Source organism: Homo sapiens, chromosome 13 (assembly GCF_000001405.40).
Source record: "Homo sapiens chromosome 13, GRCh38.p14 Primary Assembly".
Lineage (NCBI taxonomy): Eukaryota > Metazoa > Chordata > Mammalia > Primates > Hominidae > Homo > Homo sapiens.
Genome location: NC_000013.11, coordinates 99,611,199 through 99,628,130, shown reverse-complemented (window position 1 = coordinate 99,628,130; position 16,932 = coordinate 99,611,199). Strand labels below are relative to the sequence as shown.

At 43.6% G+C, this 16,932-nt stretch overlaps 1 protein-coding gene across 10 annotated transcripts in view, besides 2 other annotated features; it reads right to left on the bottom strand.

Moving 5' to 3' along the window:
- The window catches only part of CLYBL (citramalyl-CoA lyase), a 302,755-nt gene that overhangs the window by 281,314 nt on the left and 4,509 nt on the right, over positions 1-16,932 (bottom strand). The gene's annotated exons all lie outside the window — the stretch shown is intronic.
- Positions 13,039-13,538: an enhancer, noted in NCBI's record as "H3K4me1 hESC enhancer chr13:100266847-100267346 (GRCh37/hg19 assembly coordinates)". NCBI's record gives its function as "activates a minimal SCP1, AML or CMV promoter by ChIP-STARR-seq in primed H9 embryonic stem cells {active_cell/tissue: H9 hESC(primed)}" and the evidence as "EXISTENCE:reporter gene assay evidence [ECO:0000049][PMID:30033119]".
- Positions 13,385-13,464: an enhancer, noted in NCBI's record as "active region_7955". NCBI's record gives its function as "activates an Ori minimal core promoter by ATAC-STARR-seq in GM12878 lymphoblastoid cells {active_cell/tissue: GM12878}" and the evidence as "EXISTENCE:reporter gene assay evidence [ECO:0000049][PMID:35858748]".

Sequence of the window (16,932 nt, the reverse complement as noted above, 5' to 3'; positions counted from 1 at the left end):
CAGGCTCACAACACAAAGATTATTGTACTTGGAGAAGTGATCGTGCTAACTACACAAGTAAAAATGTTCCGATGGGTTTTGTAAACTTCACGTTTTAGTACCTCTGCATTTATATGAAGTTTTAATAACACACAACATGCCAAATACAGCACCAGTGGGCTGCTTCTGAAAGAAAACAACTCCCAAAAGCCTTTAAAACAGAGTTGATTACCAGAAAATACATGAAATTCACATGTGCAGGTATATCTAACTTTCAGCATTTTCTTCATTTTGACAGTGACTTATGGCAGGCTAAATACGTGAATGCAGGTCTGAGATTATGTAGCAACATTATTTCTCCTGGGAGAAAAACAATCTAAAACCATACAAACTAATTTTTCAATTTTCAAAAGTGGTTGACTAATAAATGCTTAGTAGGGGAAACCTTAGTTTTTTAGTCTCTTTTAAAAACAGAAAAAGCAAATTAACTTTTAAATGCCAAGTGTGAAAAACAGTTCAATGTGGCAGACTCTAGCTTTAAAACTTAAAAAAAATTTCAAATTCAAATAAAACAAAATGCCACATAAGTGGCTTACATAAAAAAGACTTCAAAACCCAACAAAACTGAACTTAAAACTCGCACACAGAAAATTTTCCTTTTTAAGACCAAAGATCTTCCAAGACCATTTGTCATAGGCTTAGAAGTGGTGAAAACTAAACCAGCTGCCAAAAATTATTTACTTTGTAGCACCAACAACTAAGGATATAACACCCACTAACTGACCTGCCGAGAAAATGCAAGGTTAATTTATTCTGCATGCTTTTGATTTTACTTTCTGTTAAAACAATACTCATCATCACATTCAACGCTTTCTTTAAGTATTTTATCTTCATCAAAAATAAAGACGAGAAAGGAACACAGAAAAAAAGGAGGGGGTGGCAAGAAACAAATCCAGATGTCTGAGTCAGAAATTAAAGATTATCCCATTAATTAAATCTATGATAAAGTACTGATGAATACTCTTTTCCTCTCAAAAGTGTCGGATTAAAAAATGAAATGATCACAATATTTACTACATTTCTGGCATATTTTTATGCACTTTTTTTCAGATTCAAAAGCACCAGCCCAAACACAAAACCAGTGTGAACTCCGTGGACAGAAAGTTCTGAGCAGCGCCGGTACTAGATGAGTCATAACTGCAGACAATCCTGCAAGTGTAGCCACCACTGGAGCCAGTTTATTAGTCCCGAAATATATAAATTCTTTGTAACTGAAGCTCTGGAATGTCATGTCTTAAATTACATCCACCTGGGACTACATTCTGATGACCAATCGGGTAGATTACTGGAACTTGAAAACCTTACTTTTTTGGTAATTGACATTTAAACTGTTTGAAGTTTCTCATTAAGGTCTCTTAACAAATTAACTGCAGATGTAGGAAGCGAAGTACATAATACACAGAGAAGTGAAGTCACCTGAAAGCTCCAAATAACTGGCAGTATTTAAATGTACATTATAAGCACATTAAGGTGAGCATGAACTGGCCCCATAAGCTGCAGAGTTCCACCACGTTTTGTCTATTCCAATTAGGTTTCACAGCGCACTGTGAATGTAATTTAAGTAAAAGAGAAAGGCAAGGGGTTCAAATGACATGGGACTAACACTTAGGCCAGGTTACAGACTGAAAGGCTAACTTGATGGAGGCCGAAAGAGATTAAACATCTCCACTGGCTCCTTGTTGCCAATAGGATGTAAATCTGAAGTCAGTCCTGGGCTGGCCTGGGAATCCCTTCACAGTCTGGCCTCAACCTCCCCCGCTCTCAACGTCATGCCCAGCCCCTGGGAATCCCATACTCCACAATTACCTGCTCATAACTCCCCTACCGGGCCTGTGCCCTCTGCCAAGAACACTCTTCCCTCTGCCATACTTTAAACTCTGCCCAGAGGGCAGCTTCCCTGGGAATGATCCAGGTGCCCTCCAAAAGCCACCCCTGCCTCTGTATTCTCACAGCATTGTTGCACTGATCCCTGCTTCACCACCGGCCATGGCATCTTCGTTTCAGTCAACATTTACTCAGGATCTACCACAGGCCAAGGTACTGCACTGGCCACTTGAAGACTAAGACACAATACTGGTGGAATTACTCCTCCCAGGCCTCTTCCACGCAGCCAGCCACCTCACACCGCACCCTTCTTAGAAAGCAGGCAAAAGGAGCCCGTATCTCACGTGAGATGCGCCAAAGCACCTTCTGGAACCTGGCACAGCAAAGATCCTCAGGAAATGTTCTTCCCTTCTCTCTTCTTAGGAGCTGCCTCAGTAATGCTCGGAGCCTGGGACTCAGAGCCTGGGAGGCATGACTCCCGTTCTTGTCAGAAGAATGTATAAAGGAGGGACTGAATAATACAAAGATGTGCCATAGGTGCCTCTTACTTCATACTACTGGTATGTTTTAGAATTTTCTGTTACAAAAAATTGTTCTAGGAAATATTTTTCCATTTACCTATGTAATACAATCAATAAGTTCTGCAAGAAATGGCTTGTCCTTCCTAAAACCCAGATTTAAAAGTATTTTTTTAAAAAAGGGAAAATCGCATCAAGTAGTAAACCATATGGTTGTGAAGTTTCTTATCCTTCATTAACAATAATCCCTCAAATTATTAACATTTTTACTAATTCCCCAAACCAGTAATTAATAAGATGCACCTGTGTCAACAGTCCCGTTTCCACCTTTGTAAATCACTTCCTTGGCCGAACCCTGGGCTCCTCAATTAGCACATTAAATGTCTGCGGAGCCTAAACGCTGCTAATCCCTGCTGATCACTGGCGAGTTGCTAATGCTTAGTGGTTCCCACAGAAAAAAAATGTGTGGGGCCATGCAAGGTCTGAGAGCCACGCCAGTTAGCAGTTTCCCCCAGGTTCCCAGAAGGGACAGGGGTGAGTAAACATGGTGCCTGGTCCTCAAGGAGCTTACAGCCCGATGGACAGCAAACGAACAGCACAACTCCCAAGTCGGGGACTCCGCCCAAGACAGGCCAAGGTGATGAACCAGCTCCGATGGAGAAGGCATGAGAGCAGAGGAGCTCTTCCACACGCTGGCCATAAGGAGGGAACAGAACTGAGCCTATGAGTCCACACTTTCTATCATGCTTAATTTCAGTAATAACCTGGAGTGTCTGAGGTGAAGGTGGGGGAAGGATGAGAGTTGGGGAAAAACCAAAAACAGAAAGAATTTCAAGATAAAAGCGAATGTTATTTTGGATCCCGCTAAGATGCCTCCACTGAGCTGGAAGACCATGATTTTCTTAAAATACAGCTTCCCGATGCTGAGCTGGTCCTGTGTTGAGGAAGGGCTGTGTGTTCAACAGGTGAGAAGTTCTGAAATAAACAGAATGTAGGTGGGACAGGGAACTGGCTAGGGAGGATCTTTAGGCCACATGGACTCAGACTGGCCAAGCTCTCCCGGGGATATCTCAGCGCTGGGGTAAAGCCACATTCAGACATTGAGGTTTCCCCTCTGCCCACAACTCAACTGCATAAACCAACAATGTAAACCAGTTGTACGGAAGATGCGCCGTTTATACTTTTGAAAACTTTCACAAAAGAGAGAATACTGAGGAATCTAAAAACAACCTTGGCCTATGTTCAAAAATTCAAGCCAAGGAAACTTCAGATTTGATATCTTAAAATTAGCAGGAATGTTTAGACAAATCTATAATCTAGGAAAACATACATACACCCACACTCATGCATAAAAACTTTGCCTTTCCACCCGCTCATGTCAAATAGATAATTAGTGATGGATTCTGTTTACTGTGACCATATGATGATGCAGTCATTCAAGAATCATTTAATCAGTGCCTACTGTGTCAGGCACTGTGCTGGGCACAGGCATAAAGGGTGAACGTGGAGTTTCCAGCCCAGTGCAGGAGACCAAACATAACAGGGAGATGCACACATTCGTGGCTGGTGACAAATCATAAGTGCAATGAAGAACGGGGTGCTCTGAGGGAGGAAAAAGGCAGGGAAGGGAGGACATGCTTCAGGTGGTTACCCCTGTTCCAAAGACATGGCCTTTAGGTATCTATCTGATGTTGCTTTTTACATCCACTGTTTATTGGTGTTCTTATGAACTACATACACGCCATACCTAGCATTCAATGCATCATCTCATCTTTTTTTTTTTTTTTTTTTGAGATGGAGTCTCACTCTGTTGCCCAGGCTGGAGTGCAGTGGCACGATCTCGGCTCACTGCAACCTTCACCTCCCAGGTTAAAGCGATTCTCCTGCCTCAGCCTCCCGAGTAGCTGGGATTACAGGTATGCACCACCATGCCCGGCTAATTTTTTGAATTTTTAGTAGAGATGGGGTTTCACTGTATTAGCCAGGATAGTCTCGATCTCCTGACCTCATGATCTGCCCACCTCGGCCTCCCAAAGTGCTAATTACAGGCGTGAGCCACAGTGCCCAACTCATCTCATCATTTACTTCTAAATGGACCTTGGATCTGAATCCCCTGAGCCTCAAAGCCCATGGTCTCTGGACCTAAGGAGGGAAGTGTTAAAAAATAAATAAAGAAATAATAAATAAAAGCCCATGGGTGTTTGCCTTCCCTGCTTGAGGGAACAGGAGAAGGCCAATGATGCTCGGTAAGTGGACTGAGTGAGGAGCATGGAAGGCAGTGAGAGAAAGAGGTAGGAGGGAGAAGATCATATACTCCTTGGAGTCCAAGATGGGGGCCAGGGTTTATTATAAATGCAATAGGAAGGATGTGAAGCAGAGAAGTGAAATTAGACAATTTGTACATTTAAAAATGATTTGGAAGAAACCGCGAGAATACAACTTCACATCTACTAGGATGGCTGCAATAAAAACAATGGAAAATAGCAAGTGTTGGCGAGGATGTGGAGAAATCAGAACGCTTGTACATTGCTGGTGGAATGTAAAATGGTGCAGCCACTGTGGAAAACAGTTTGGTGGTTCCTCAAAAAGTTAAACATAGAATTACTATATGGCACAGCAGTTCCTAGGTATAAACCTAAAGGAACTGAAAACAAATACCTGTATATGAATGTTCATAGCAGCACTAGTCACAATCACCAAAAAGTGGAAACAGCCCAAATGTCCATCAACTGACAAATAAATTTAAAAAATGAGCCAGGTGTGGTGGTGGGTGCCTGCAGTCCTAGCTACTTGGAAGGTTGAGGCAGGGGGAATCACTCAAGCCCAGGAGTCCAAGGCTACAGTGAGCTATGATCATGCCACTACACTCCAGCCTGGGTGACGGTGCCACTATACTCCAACCTGGATGACAGAGCTACATCCTGTCTCTAAAAAATTAAATTTAATTTAAAAAATAAACAAAATGTAGTGCTATATCCATACAAAGGAATGGTAAATGCACAGAGACAGAAGACAGACTGGTGGTTGCCAGGGGTTGAGGAGAGGAGGGAATGGGGAATGGCCGCTCAATGGATAGAGTTCTCCTTTAGGGCGATGAAAATGTTTTGGAACTAGATGGAGGTGATGGTTGCACAATATGGTGAATGTACTAAAACAGCCTCGAAGAGTACACTTGAATATTGCCTGGAGGGGCACCCATACATGTAAACAATCCTTTTTCACAGGATTGTTTGCCACTAGGGTAGGGGCAATGGAGACAAAAAGAAAAGGACAGATCCAAGAGATGTTTTTGGAACCAACAGGTCTAGATGATAGAATGTACATCTTAATATCTATGCTGGCAGCACATAACATGAGAGGCAATGAGGGAACTCAGCCCATTAGATGGTCATTCCAAGAGTTCAAACCTGAATCTATAACAGTGGATGGGTATGCAGAATAATGGCCCCCAAAGATGTCCACGTCCTTATACCCAGTATTTATTGATATGTCAGGTTACATGGCAAAGTGGAATGAAGGTTGCTAATCAGCTGACCCTGAGTTGGGGCGACTGGCCCTGGTTATCCAGGTGGGGCCAACGTAATCACAAGGGTGCTTCTAAGTGGAAAAGGGTGGCAGAAGCAACAGAACCCGAGAGATGGCAGCAATGGGGAGAAGAATTCAGCCCACTGGGTCTGGCTTTGAAGATGGATAAGGAGCCATGAGCCAAAGAATGTGGGCAGCCTCTAGAAGCTGAAACAGGCAAGCAAACAGATCACCCCTAGAACTGCCAGAAAGAACACTCTCCATCCCTGTAAACACCTTGGTTTCAGCCCACAAAACCTAGGTCAGACTTCCAAACTGCAGAAGCATAAGTTAACAAATCTGTGTTAACTTAACCAAGGGTGTCCAGTTTTTTTGGCTTCCCTGGCCCCACACTGGAAGAAGAATTGTCTTGGACCACACATAAAATCCACTAACAACAGCTGATAAGCTAAAGGGAAAAAAAAAAAAATCGCCAAAAAATCTCATGTTTTAAGAAAGCTCACAAATTTGTGTTGGGTCGTATTCAAAGTCATCCCAGGTCACATGTGGCCCACAGGCTGCAGGGACAAGCTTAATTTAAACCACCATGTTTGCGATAATCTGTTACAACAGCAATAGGAAACTAATACAATGAAAGAAGAGTTGGCACCTGAAGGGGAAAATCAACAGGCCTGGCAACAGATGGGGTGTGGGTGGGAGAGGAGAGGAGGCATCAAAGACCACTGGGAGTTCTGCATCTCGATCACCTTAACACAGGGAAGGGTGACAAAAGTCAGCGGAGAGGTTAGGGCTCTCAGGGACGAGACAGATGGCTGGCTGAGGTGTCCAGGGAAAGAAGGCTTCCAGGAGGAAGTGGCACTGATGACTCGAGAGTGTGGGGCATGGTGAGTGGTGCATGTGGGCCACAGGTAAGCGGCCTGGGGGGAAATGGAAAGATGGAGGATAGGTGAGGAGGTGCGTACATGCCACACTAAGGGGCCTGGACTTTAGCGGCAGGTAATTGGAGGTCACTGGGAAATTTATGCTGTCCAAGGGGGTGGGCACCATGATCAGAGTACAGCGTTAGGAAGCTTAAAAAGTGTATTTATGTGTTCAGGGGTGGGGAGAAGAGGTTTAACGGTAAGGATTCTCCCAGTCCTCTGGTGCAGGCATGTCACCAGATTACCTGGTAAATTCCTGATGTTCTGCAGGACAAGTAGACACTGATGATTCAAACGCACAGCTTGGGACTTTGTCCAGAGAACATGAGGGGTGGCAGAGAGACTCCAAGCTTCTCCTATACCCATATTCTCTTCCTGGTAGAGGAGAAATTCTCTTGACTGGCTGACTCCTTTGTAGTTGAGGTGTCTGAAGAAGACATTTTCTTTCTTTTTTCTTTCTTTCTTTTTCTTTCTTTCTTTCTCTCTCTCTCTCTCTTTCTCTCTCTCTCTTTTTCTTTCTTTCTTTTTTTGAGACAGAGTCTCACTGTCACCCAGGCTGGAGTGCAATGGCAGGATCTCAGCTCACTGCAACCTCCACCTTCCGGGTTTAAGCGATTCTCCTGCCTCAGCCTCCTGAGTAGCTGAGATTAGAGGTGTGTGACCACCACGTTCAGCTAATTTTTGTATTTTTAGTAGAGACAGGGTTTTATCATGTTGTGCCAGGTTGGTCTCCAACTCCTGACCTCGTGATCCGCCCATCTTGGCCTCCCAAAGTGCTGGGATTACAGGCATGAGCCACCATGCCCAGTGAAGGCATTTCTTAAAATGTATAGCACTTGAGAAGGGCTACACATCTGACATCAGCACTGCTTGTTTTCTTGGGCTCACTGGTCATCCCTGCTGGACTGCTGGCTGATGGGCCCTAGAACAGGCAGACCCTATGAGAGCACTGTGGCTCTGGGCATTTGCAAGCCAGCTTGAGGGTTCCAAGTGAGCAGGGAACCCAAATGGAGCAGAAAAAAACTGAAAGAGGTGAAATGTAGGCCAAAATCAGGTATCCACTTCTGAGTCAAAATCAGACTAAAATTTAGGATATCTACCTTCTCTTTCTCCTGAGTTCTTTTAGGTTCTGCGTCTCCATACACCTGAATTATTTTAGAATCCTAACCCCTAGGCGCTGTGCTGTGTCCATCATAAGTCACTGGAACAAAGTGCCTGGTAGCACTCCCTGCTGCAGGCAGAGACACCATGAGGGTGCCGCCCCTTCTGAGGACCTAAAGGGTCAACACCACACAACCAAAAACATCTCCCTTAATGTCAGGAGAAGGCGGTAAAACCAATTGAGTGCAGGCTGTACCAATAAGTTTGGGGGAGGCAGAGCTTTTATCTTCAATCTCTGGTCAAATTGAGCTCAAATGGACCAAAATAACTTAGAGCTCAAAAAGCTATATACTTTTTATTTCTGAATTCCCCAAGGTCGTCTTACTTGAGGGCAATAATTCCTTTCTAGACTCTGGAATGTCAACTGGCAGGAAGAAACTTGTCCATCCTCCTTTTGATGGGTGAGAAAAATAAGGCACAATCTAGATAAGGGCCTTGAACAAGGTCAAGGGCCAACTGCGGGTCAGCATTGGACTTGAACCCCAGAGTATCTATCCAGGAGCTTCCTGCCTATAGCAGAGTTAGTAACTTGATTTTAAACTTGTTTTTGACAATTGTAAGAAAAAATTAAAGAGCACCTGAGGATATTAAAACAATTCTGATTTTTAGGAGCTAGAATAAGTTTCTATCTTAATATGAACTAAAAATATTTTCCTAAAAGTAGAAACCACCTGTCTTAGTCTGTTTATGCTGCTATTTTAAAAAGTATTACACACTGGGCTAATTTATAAACAACAGAAACTTACTTCCCACAGTTCTGGAGGCTGGGGAATCTAAGATCAAGGTGCCAGCCTTGGTGTCTACAGAGGGCTGCTCTCTGCTTCCAATATGGCGCCTTATTGCTGTGTCCTCACATGGCGCAGGGTGGAAGGGCAAGACTGGAAAACTCTCTCTGAAGCCTCTTTCCAATGATACTAACCCATTCATGAGGCACAGCCCTCATGACTTAACCACTTCCTACAAGGCCCCACTTCTTAATACCACCACAATGGGAATTAAGTTTCAACATGAATTTTGGAGGGGATACCACATTCAAACCATAGTACTACCCAGGAGTGATCTGTGACTGGCTAGTATAATTCAAAGAAATCCACTTTAGGCTTAAACTTAAACATCACATTTCTGTGCTCCACATAGAACATGCACTAACAATAGCCAAAAGGTGGCAGTGATACTCAAATGTCCATCAACAGATGGATGGATAAATAAAATATGGAATAGGCACACAATAGATTATTCAGCCTTAAAAATGAATGAAAATCAGATACCTGCTGTAACATGGATGCACCTTGGAAGATATTATGCTGAGTGAAATAAGCCAAACACAAAAGGACAAATATGTGAGTCTATGTATGTGAAGTACCTAGAGTAGTCAAATTCACAGTGAAAATAATGAGAATGGTGGTTACCAGGGGCTGGGTGGGGGGAAGGGAACAGGGAGTTAGTGTTTAATGGGCACAGGGTTTCAGTGTGGGAAGATAAAAAAGTTCTGAAGATGGATGGTGGTGACAGTTGTACAACAATGTGAATGTACTTAATGCCACTAAACTGTACACTTAAAGATGGTTAAAATGGGCCGGCCATGGTGGCTCACGCCTGTAATCCCAGCACTTTGGGAGGCCGAGGCGGGTAGATCACCTGAGGTCAGGAGTTCGAGACCAGCCTGGCCAACATGGTGAAACCCCGTCTCTACTAAAAATACAAAAAATTAGCCAGGCGTGGTGGCGGGCACCTGTAATCCCAGCTACTCGGAGGCAGAGGCAGGAGAGTTGCTTGAACCCAGGAGGCAGAGGTTGCAGTGAGTGAGATCGCACCACTGCACTCCAGCCTGGGGGCAGAGCTAGACTCCACCTCAAAAAAAAAAAAGTTAAAATGATAATTTTGTTATGTATAATTTACCAAAATAAAGAAAAAAAATCCACTAAATCTTTAGAAACACTCAAAATATTTCATTCCTAAATCTGTTCTTTTTTCCTTCTGCAAATTTATATCAGGCACTGCCAAGGATTGTTTTAGGTTCTGGATATATAGTAGCAATGGAATAAACCAAGTCCCTGCTCTCATGAATATCTGGGGGCTGGGGTAGGATACAGGCGGACAATAAACAAATAAGCATGTGATATGTCTGGTGGAAATGGGGCAATAGGAAAAAATGAAAACAGCAGTAAGGGGACAGGGTAGTGCAGAGGCTGCTTAGCGGGGTGGAGGCTATGTTGTACAGGGTGGTCAAGGAAGACCTCTCTGATTTGTGACATTTGAGCTGAGGCACAAAGGGACAGAGGGCTTCAGGCTGACGACACAGCCCAGAAGAGGAGGCCGGTGAGGCTGCAACAGGCTAGGGAGAGAGGAGGTCATAAGGAGGGCTGGAGCACAGAGCTACTTCTTCAGTTTCTCATAAACTTTTAAAGGGACCGTTTATAGGTCAGTATAGAAATATTTCCTCTACCATCCATGTGTCTTTCATTTGCCTTAAAATGAACAGAAAAAACTCTTACATCTTCTGAAAGGCGTTCGTGAGGGCAGCCTGCAGACTGCAGAGACTGCGTGCATCTCCCATTGCTAGAGCGGAGCGCCCTCCAGTGCCTCACTACGAAAACAGCACTTGGCATGGGGTTTTCTGTTTGCTGTTTTCATTTCCTAAACTTTTGTTTTTGGCCACAGAATAATGTGGGCATATCAACCTTCTCACAAAGAATACTGTGAGACTAAGTAAGAAGACAAGTCAAGTGTATGCTTTCAAACAAGCCTGCACTACTTCCAAAGTGGTACAAAGTATATGTGTGCAATGATGTTTTTAATGACCATATAAACTTTAAAAAGGTCCATAGAGAGGCCCTTATTAGGAAAAAAAAAAGTGCCAATTTTTAGCGTGAACTGTGAGTTAAACAGTAAACACAGTCTTCCGCTAAACTAAGACCCTCATTTTACTGGGGCTAGCAACGGGACAATGAAGTAGCAAGTACTGCCTTTTACACTTTTCAATATTTGGGGTTCTGAATATTAATACTGAAAAGTGTCCTGCAAATACAGACACCAGGGTCATTCTTCCTTCTCATTTAGACACAGTGAGGAGAAACAGTTAAGACAGACTTGCTCACTCAAGTATTCTATTAAAATAGAAACCTTACTTTCTAAGGAAACTTTCATTCCTTTATTATATTATTATTATTACTATTATTATTATTATTGAGACGGAGTCGCGCTCTGTCACCCAGGCTGGAGTGCAGTGGCATGATCTTGGCTCACTGCAACCTCCACCTCCTGGGTTCAAGCAATTCTCCTGCCTCAGTCTCCTGAGTAGCTGGGACTACAGGCATGCGCAACCACACCAGGCTAATTTTTGTATTTTTAGTAGAGACGGGGTTTCACCATGCTGGCCAGGCTGGTCTTGAACTTCTGACCTCAAGTGATCGGTCCACTTCAGCCTCTCAAAGTGCTGGAATTACAGGTGTGAGCCACCAATGCCCAGCCCATTCCTTTATTATTAAATAGAGCACCTCTGCCAATCTCAAAGACCTAACTAAGAGAAGGATGTTAACATGTGGTGTAGTTCAGAAGAGGTTCATGGCCACTTACAGAAACACCCATGGGCGGGCCCAGTGTGACAGCCAAGGCTGTCGCGGTAGCCAACAGGCCTTTTTAGGTCTGGAAACAGACTAAATGAACCTGGAACAGACTAAATGAAAACCTGGAAACAGACTAAATGAACAACTGTGGTTATACACATACAAATATATATGTGCTAGAGTCATGTGGAACAACAGTGAACATCATCACTGCTCCTAGATTAACATCGTTAAATGTAAACAAAACATAAAATCAGCTGGGTGTGGTAGCACATGCCTGCAGTCCCAGCTACTAGAGACTGAGGAAGAAGCGCTACTGGTGCCCAGGATGTCAAGGCTGCAGTAAGCTATGATAACACCTGCGAATAGCCACTGCAGTCCAGTCTGGGCAACATAGCTTCACCAGTCTTAAAAAAAAAAAAAAAAAAAAAAAAGCCAGGCGTGGTGGCTCACACCTATAATCCCAGCACTTCAGGAGACCAAGGCAGGCAGATCACGAGGCCAGGAGTTCAAGACCAGCCTGACCAACATGGTGAAACCCCATCTCTACTAAAAATAAAAAATAAAAATAAAAAAATTAGCTGTGCGTGGTGGTGTGCACCTGTAATTCCAGCTACTCAGGAGGCTGAGGCAGGAGGATCGCTTGAACCCAGGAGGCAGAGGTTGCAGTGAGCTGAGATTGTGCCACTGCACTCCAGCCTGAGCGACAGAGTGAGACTCCGTTTCAAAATAAACAACAACAAAAAATCAAAGCAGCTAAATTAACAGCTATTCTAAACCTGGTTTATGGTAGGGAGGATGGGGTGAGAAAGGAAGGAAGGAAAGAAGGAGGGAATGAATCTCAAGTCTGCATCATTCAAGTGAGTTATTTAATTGATACGCTATAACACATTCAAGTAGCAACATGAAATAAACTAAACCTGTTTGAATTACAGTGGATTTAAATTCATACCCAAGTGACCGATATGAAACCACAAATATTATTTCCTTGATTTCTTATTTATTGCCTAATAAAATTCTAAACTTCACAGGATCGTAAGCAATGTGTGGAATTAATGAGGAATTGTGTAACGGCAGAACACAGCTCCAGCTGCACTCAGGGTAGAAAAAAATGTTGTTTTTATAATTAACAACTTTTTATATGTTAAAAAATTTAATTAAACGTACTAATAGCTCCTCCCCAAGGAGCCCAGCTTGCTTTTCCGAGCCTTCTTAGAAACCTGCATTCCTAAATTTCAGCTACCAGCACTATGGGCTTCCTCACAGGGAGTCCCGCATAAAATGGCAACTTCTAGTGGCCACCACCACATTTAGTTAGGAAACTGTGTGACCAAAGGCTGTTTTCAGAAAGTATATCAGTCAGACCGTGGCTGTTCCGAAGCTATCACTGGAGACTGCTGAGGCTGAGCAGTGTCAGCTGCCCTGAGAGCACTCCCCATGGATATGGGTCATGTCTTGGCACAGGCTCACCCACAGCCATGTCTATGTCCTCACCTTTGAGGCTTCAGGTGTGCCTCCTGAGAACACACTACCTGCAGATATCCTGTTATTAGCAACTGACTACCATGAAATATTTCTAGACGAATGAAGTACTCGTGCCACTCAAACATTCTGCAGAATATGGGCACTAAGGAGAGTTATTTGCAAGGACAGAGTCTTCTCAGTGGCCACAGTTACTCAGTTGAGTCGGGTCAAGCATGTGGCATGAAACTGTCCTCAACTTCCCTCTGGATCCATGGGACAGAGAGAGGGAGGGAGGGATCTCTGCAGTAAAGAGTTGATCTTCAGGTCCCGGCCTCCCCCCCTGACTCCTTGGCCTCTCCCACAGAAAGTATGTGGGTAACTCAATGTCCTCTAGATGGCTCTGGTCCACGGTAAAACTCTACCACAGGATAACGGTATGTAGGAGCACGAGCCCCACACAGCTGCAACAGAGCCAGAGGCCAAGGTGAGGCCGTTCAGCAGGCACGGCACAGCTGAGTTGTTGGCAGAGACCTCCCTCGCAGCTACACCTGCCCGGGCAGGTGTAGCTCCCAATTCGGGCCCAGCCACCACAGCCAGTTCTTGCTCACCAGTTTGGCTGCTGCCCACTGGTTTTTGCTCAGGGAAATCTGATTTCCCACAAATTCCACTGTCCAGCCCAGGCATGTCCCCTACCCCTAGGCTACTCCTGGTCTGCATGATGTGCATACAACTGCCTTCCTGGTATTGCCGCTTCCGCAGGGTCTCCTTCTTTCTTTTCTCTTCAGCCCCACTCTAAGCAGTGGCCCTTCTTACTCCATTAAAGCATTCTGAATACTCTCTCTCGGTTCTAGAATGGAGGCCATTCCAGAAGACTCTTGCTCCAGTTCTTGAACCTGTGGTCTACCATCTTGGACCACTGGTCTTTTTATTCTTTCTCCCAGCTTCTGTCAATTCCTTTCCTTCTGGGCTCTGTATCCTGCCCTGCACTCATCCCCTCCAACTCCATCCTCCTCCCTGTTCCTAATAAGTACCCGTCTTCATCCACAGCCCTTTACTTCTCCACCTCTATGGTGAATGGCCATCCTGGTTTGCTGGGACCTAAGGGGTTTCTGGGAACATAAGGCATTCCATGCTAAACCCAGGACAGTCCCAGGCGACTGAGAGGATTGGGCCCTCTGCCTCCCAGGGCCATTTAAAATGACTTTCTGCCTCACAATCCAAAATATCATTTTTGTTTACACATCCCCTTTCTCACCATGCATTTGGGCAACTGAAGTCAACTTCTAATGATACCAATAAACATTTTAAAATATCTAACACTTCACATTGGCCTTTTAATACCAGTTCAAGTAGCAAAGAACACACATTCATCCTTACTCTGAGTGAGTTCTTTTTAATGTGATCATTTTTCCATCTCAGTCATGTTTACCCTGCCTCCTTTTCAGTGAGGTTTCTCCCCTTTCTCGCTCACTGCTTCCATTGTTCTCTGCCTTTCTCTCCCCATCGCTCCCTCTTCTCCCACCTCTGTCCTCCCTTTGGGTCCCTTCCCTCCCTTTTTCCCTTAGTGGCCTCACAGCAGTACAGAGGGACAGTAGTGGTTGTCACGGTAACCTCAGGAGGCTTCAAAGATGAAGCCAACCCTACAAAAGGCCTATTGGGACCCTGACAGGTAACCCCATCCAGGCCCCTCAGCCACCTTCCATGGCCCTGCTGCTTCCTCACACACTGTCCCCTTCCTGTTGACCCAGAATCTCAGGTACTTAGCTTGTAGTTGTCGCCTCTCTAAACTGTCTTCATCTGGTTTTTTCTTTACCAGATTCCTCTCCACCACGGCACTGCAAAATGTGAAGTACCTTCCTGGCACATTCCTTGGCTGCTACCACTGAACACATACAGCCAGGGAGCCCTTTTTCTTTTGGAGTCTTACTATGAATACTTTAGAAAACAGAAACAGAGTATCAACATAAGAAATGAAAAGAGATTACAGGTATCAGAAATCTTGCAAAATTTGCTAGAGGGAATTAAAACAATCCTTAGAGGGAATTTTGTTATTATTATTATTATTATTATTATTATTATTATTATTATCATCACTATTTTTAATAGAGCTTTGCTCTGTCACCCAGGCTGGAGTGCAGTGGTATCATCACAGCTCACTGAAACCCCAAATCCCCAGGCTCAAGGAATCCTCCCACCTCAGCATCCCAAGTGGCTAGGATCACAGGCATGAGCCACCACATCCAGCTAACTTTTAAAATTTTTTTTGTAGTGACAGCATCTCACTATGTTACCCAATCTGGACTTGAACTCCTGGCCACAAGTGATCCTCCCACCTCAGCCTTTCAAAGTGCTGGGATTATAGACATGAGCCACCAAGCATGGCTGTAAAGTAATTACTGAGTGCTTATATTTAGAAAGTAGACCCCGGATGGGTGTGGCGGCTCACATCCATAATCCCAGCACTTTCGGAGGCCAAGGTGGGTAGACTGCTTGAATCCAGGAGTTTGAGACAAGCCTGGGCAACATGGCGAAACCCCGTCTCTCCAAAAAATACAAAAATTAGCCAGACATGGTGGCTAATGCCTGTAGTCTCAGCTACTTGGGAGGCTGAGGCAGGAGGACTGTTTGAGCTTAGAATGTGGAGGTTGCAGTGAGCCAAGATTGCATCAGTGCACTCCAGCCTGGGTGACAGAGCAAGACCTTGTCTCAAAAAAAAAAAAAAAAAAAGTAGAAAGGTCTAAAATTAATTATCTAAATTTCCACCTTAAAAAGGTAAAGGGTAAATTAAACCCAAAGTAAGGTGAAGGTAGGAAATAATAAAGATGAGACAGAAATCAATGAAATAGAAAACAAAAAAAAGAGAAAAATCGATAAAACAAAAAGATGGTTCTTTAAAAAGAGCAAAATAACTCAAGCCAGGTGATAAAATAAAAAACAGAGAAAAAAGAATTACAAATATCAAGGATGAAGAAGGACACATCACTATGGATGACACAAACAGTAAGGAGATGACAGACTAGAGGCAGGGGTAAGGATTAACTGCAAATGGGCTCAAGAGAATTTGCGGGATGATAGAAATTTGGAGGGGGGCCTAACATTGGACTGTAGTGATGGGCCTATAAACTTACTAGAAATTATTTAATCACACACTTACAAAGGGTGAATTGTGTGGTATATACCTTTGTAGAGCTGTAAGAAAAAGGATAAGGAGTCAGCATGAACAACTCCAGGCACGTGAATGTGACAACTTAGATGAAATGGACATAGTCCTTCAAAGATACAAACTACCAAAGCTTACTCAAGAAGAACTAGATAATCTGAATGGCAATATGTCTATTAAAGAAACTAAATTTGTAGTTTAACACTTTTTCCACAAAGAAAACTGCAGGTGCAAACATTTACAGGCAAAATCTTACCAAATTTACACAAATTGTTTCATGAAATAGAAGCGGGAACTCTCCAACACATCCTATGTGACCATCACCATCCTAATACCAAACCCAGACCAAGGCAATATCAGAAAACTATAGGCGATTATTCCTTATGAACACAGATACAAATAATTTTAACAAAATTTTAGCACATGCAATCCAAACAATACATCACAATCAGTGGGGTTTATTCCAGGAATGCAATGGTCAGCTTAACTTTTAAAAAGTCAATCACTGTAATTTACCGTATTAACACACTGAAGAAGAAAAGCCTTATGATCAACACAACAGATGCAAAAAAAAATTTATAAATTCAAATCCACTCGATCAAAACTCTATGCAGGCTGACTTCAGCAAAAACTACAGAAAAAGGACCTTTGAAAATCCTATCCTCCATAAAATCAACAAGAATATTGGCAAAAATTGTCAGAATAAACTTTTTCAGAATTCTAGAAATTAAAGACTTGCAGCAATATAGGGATCA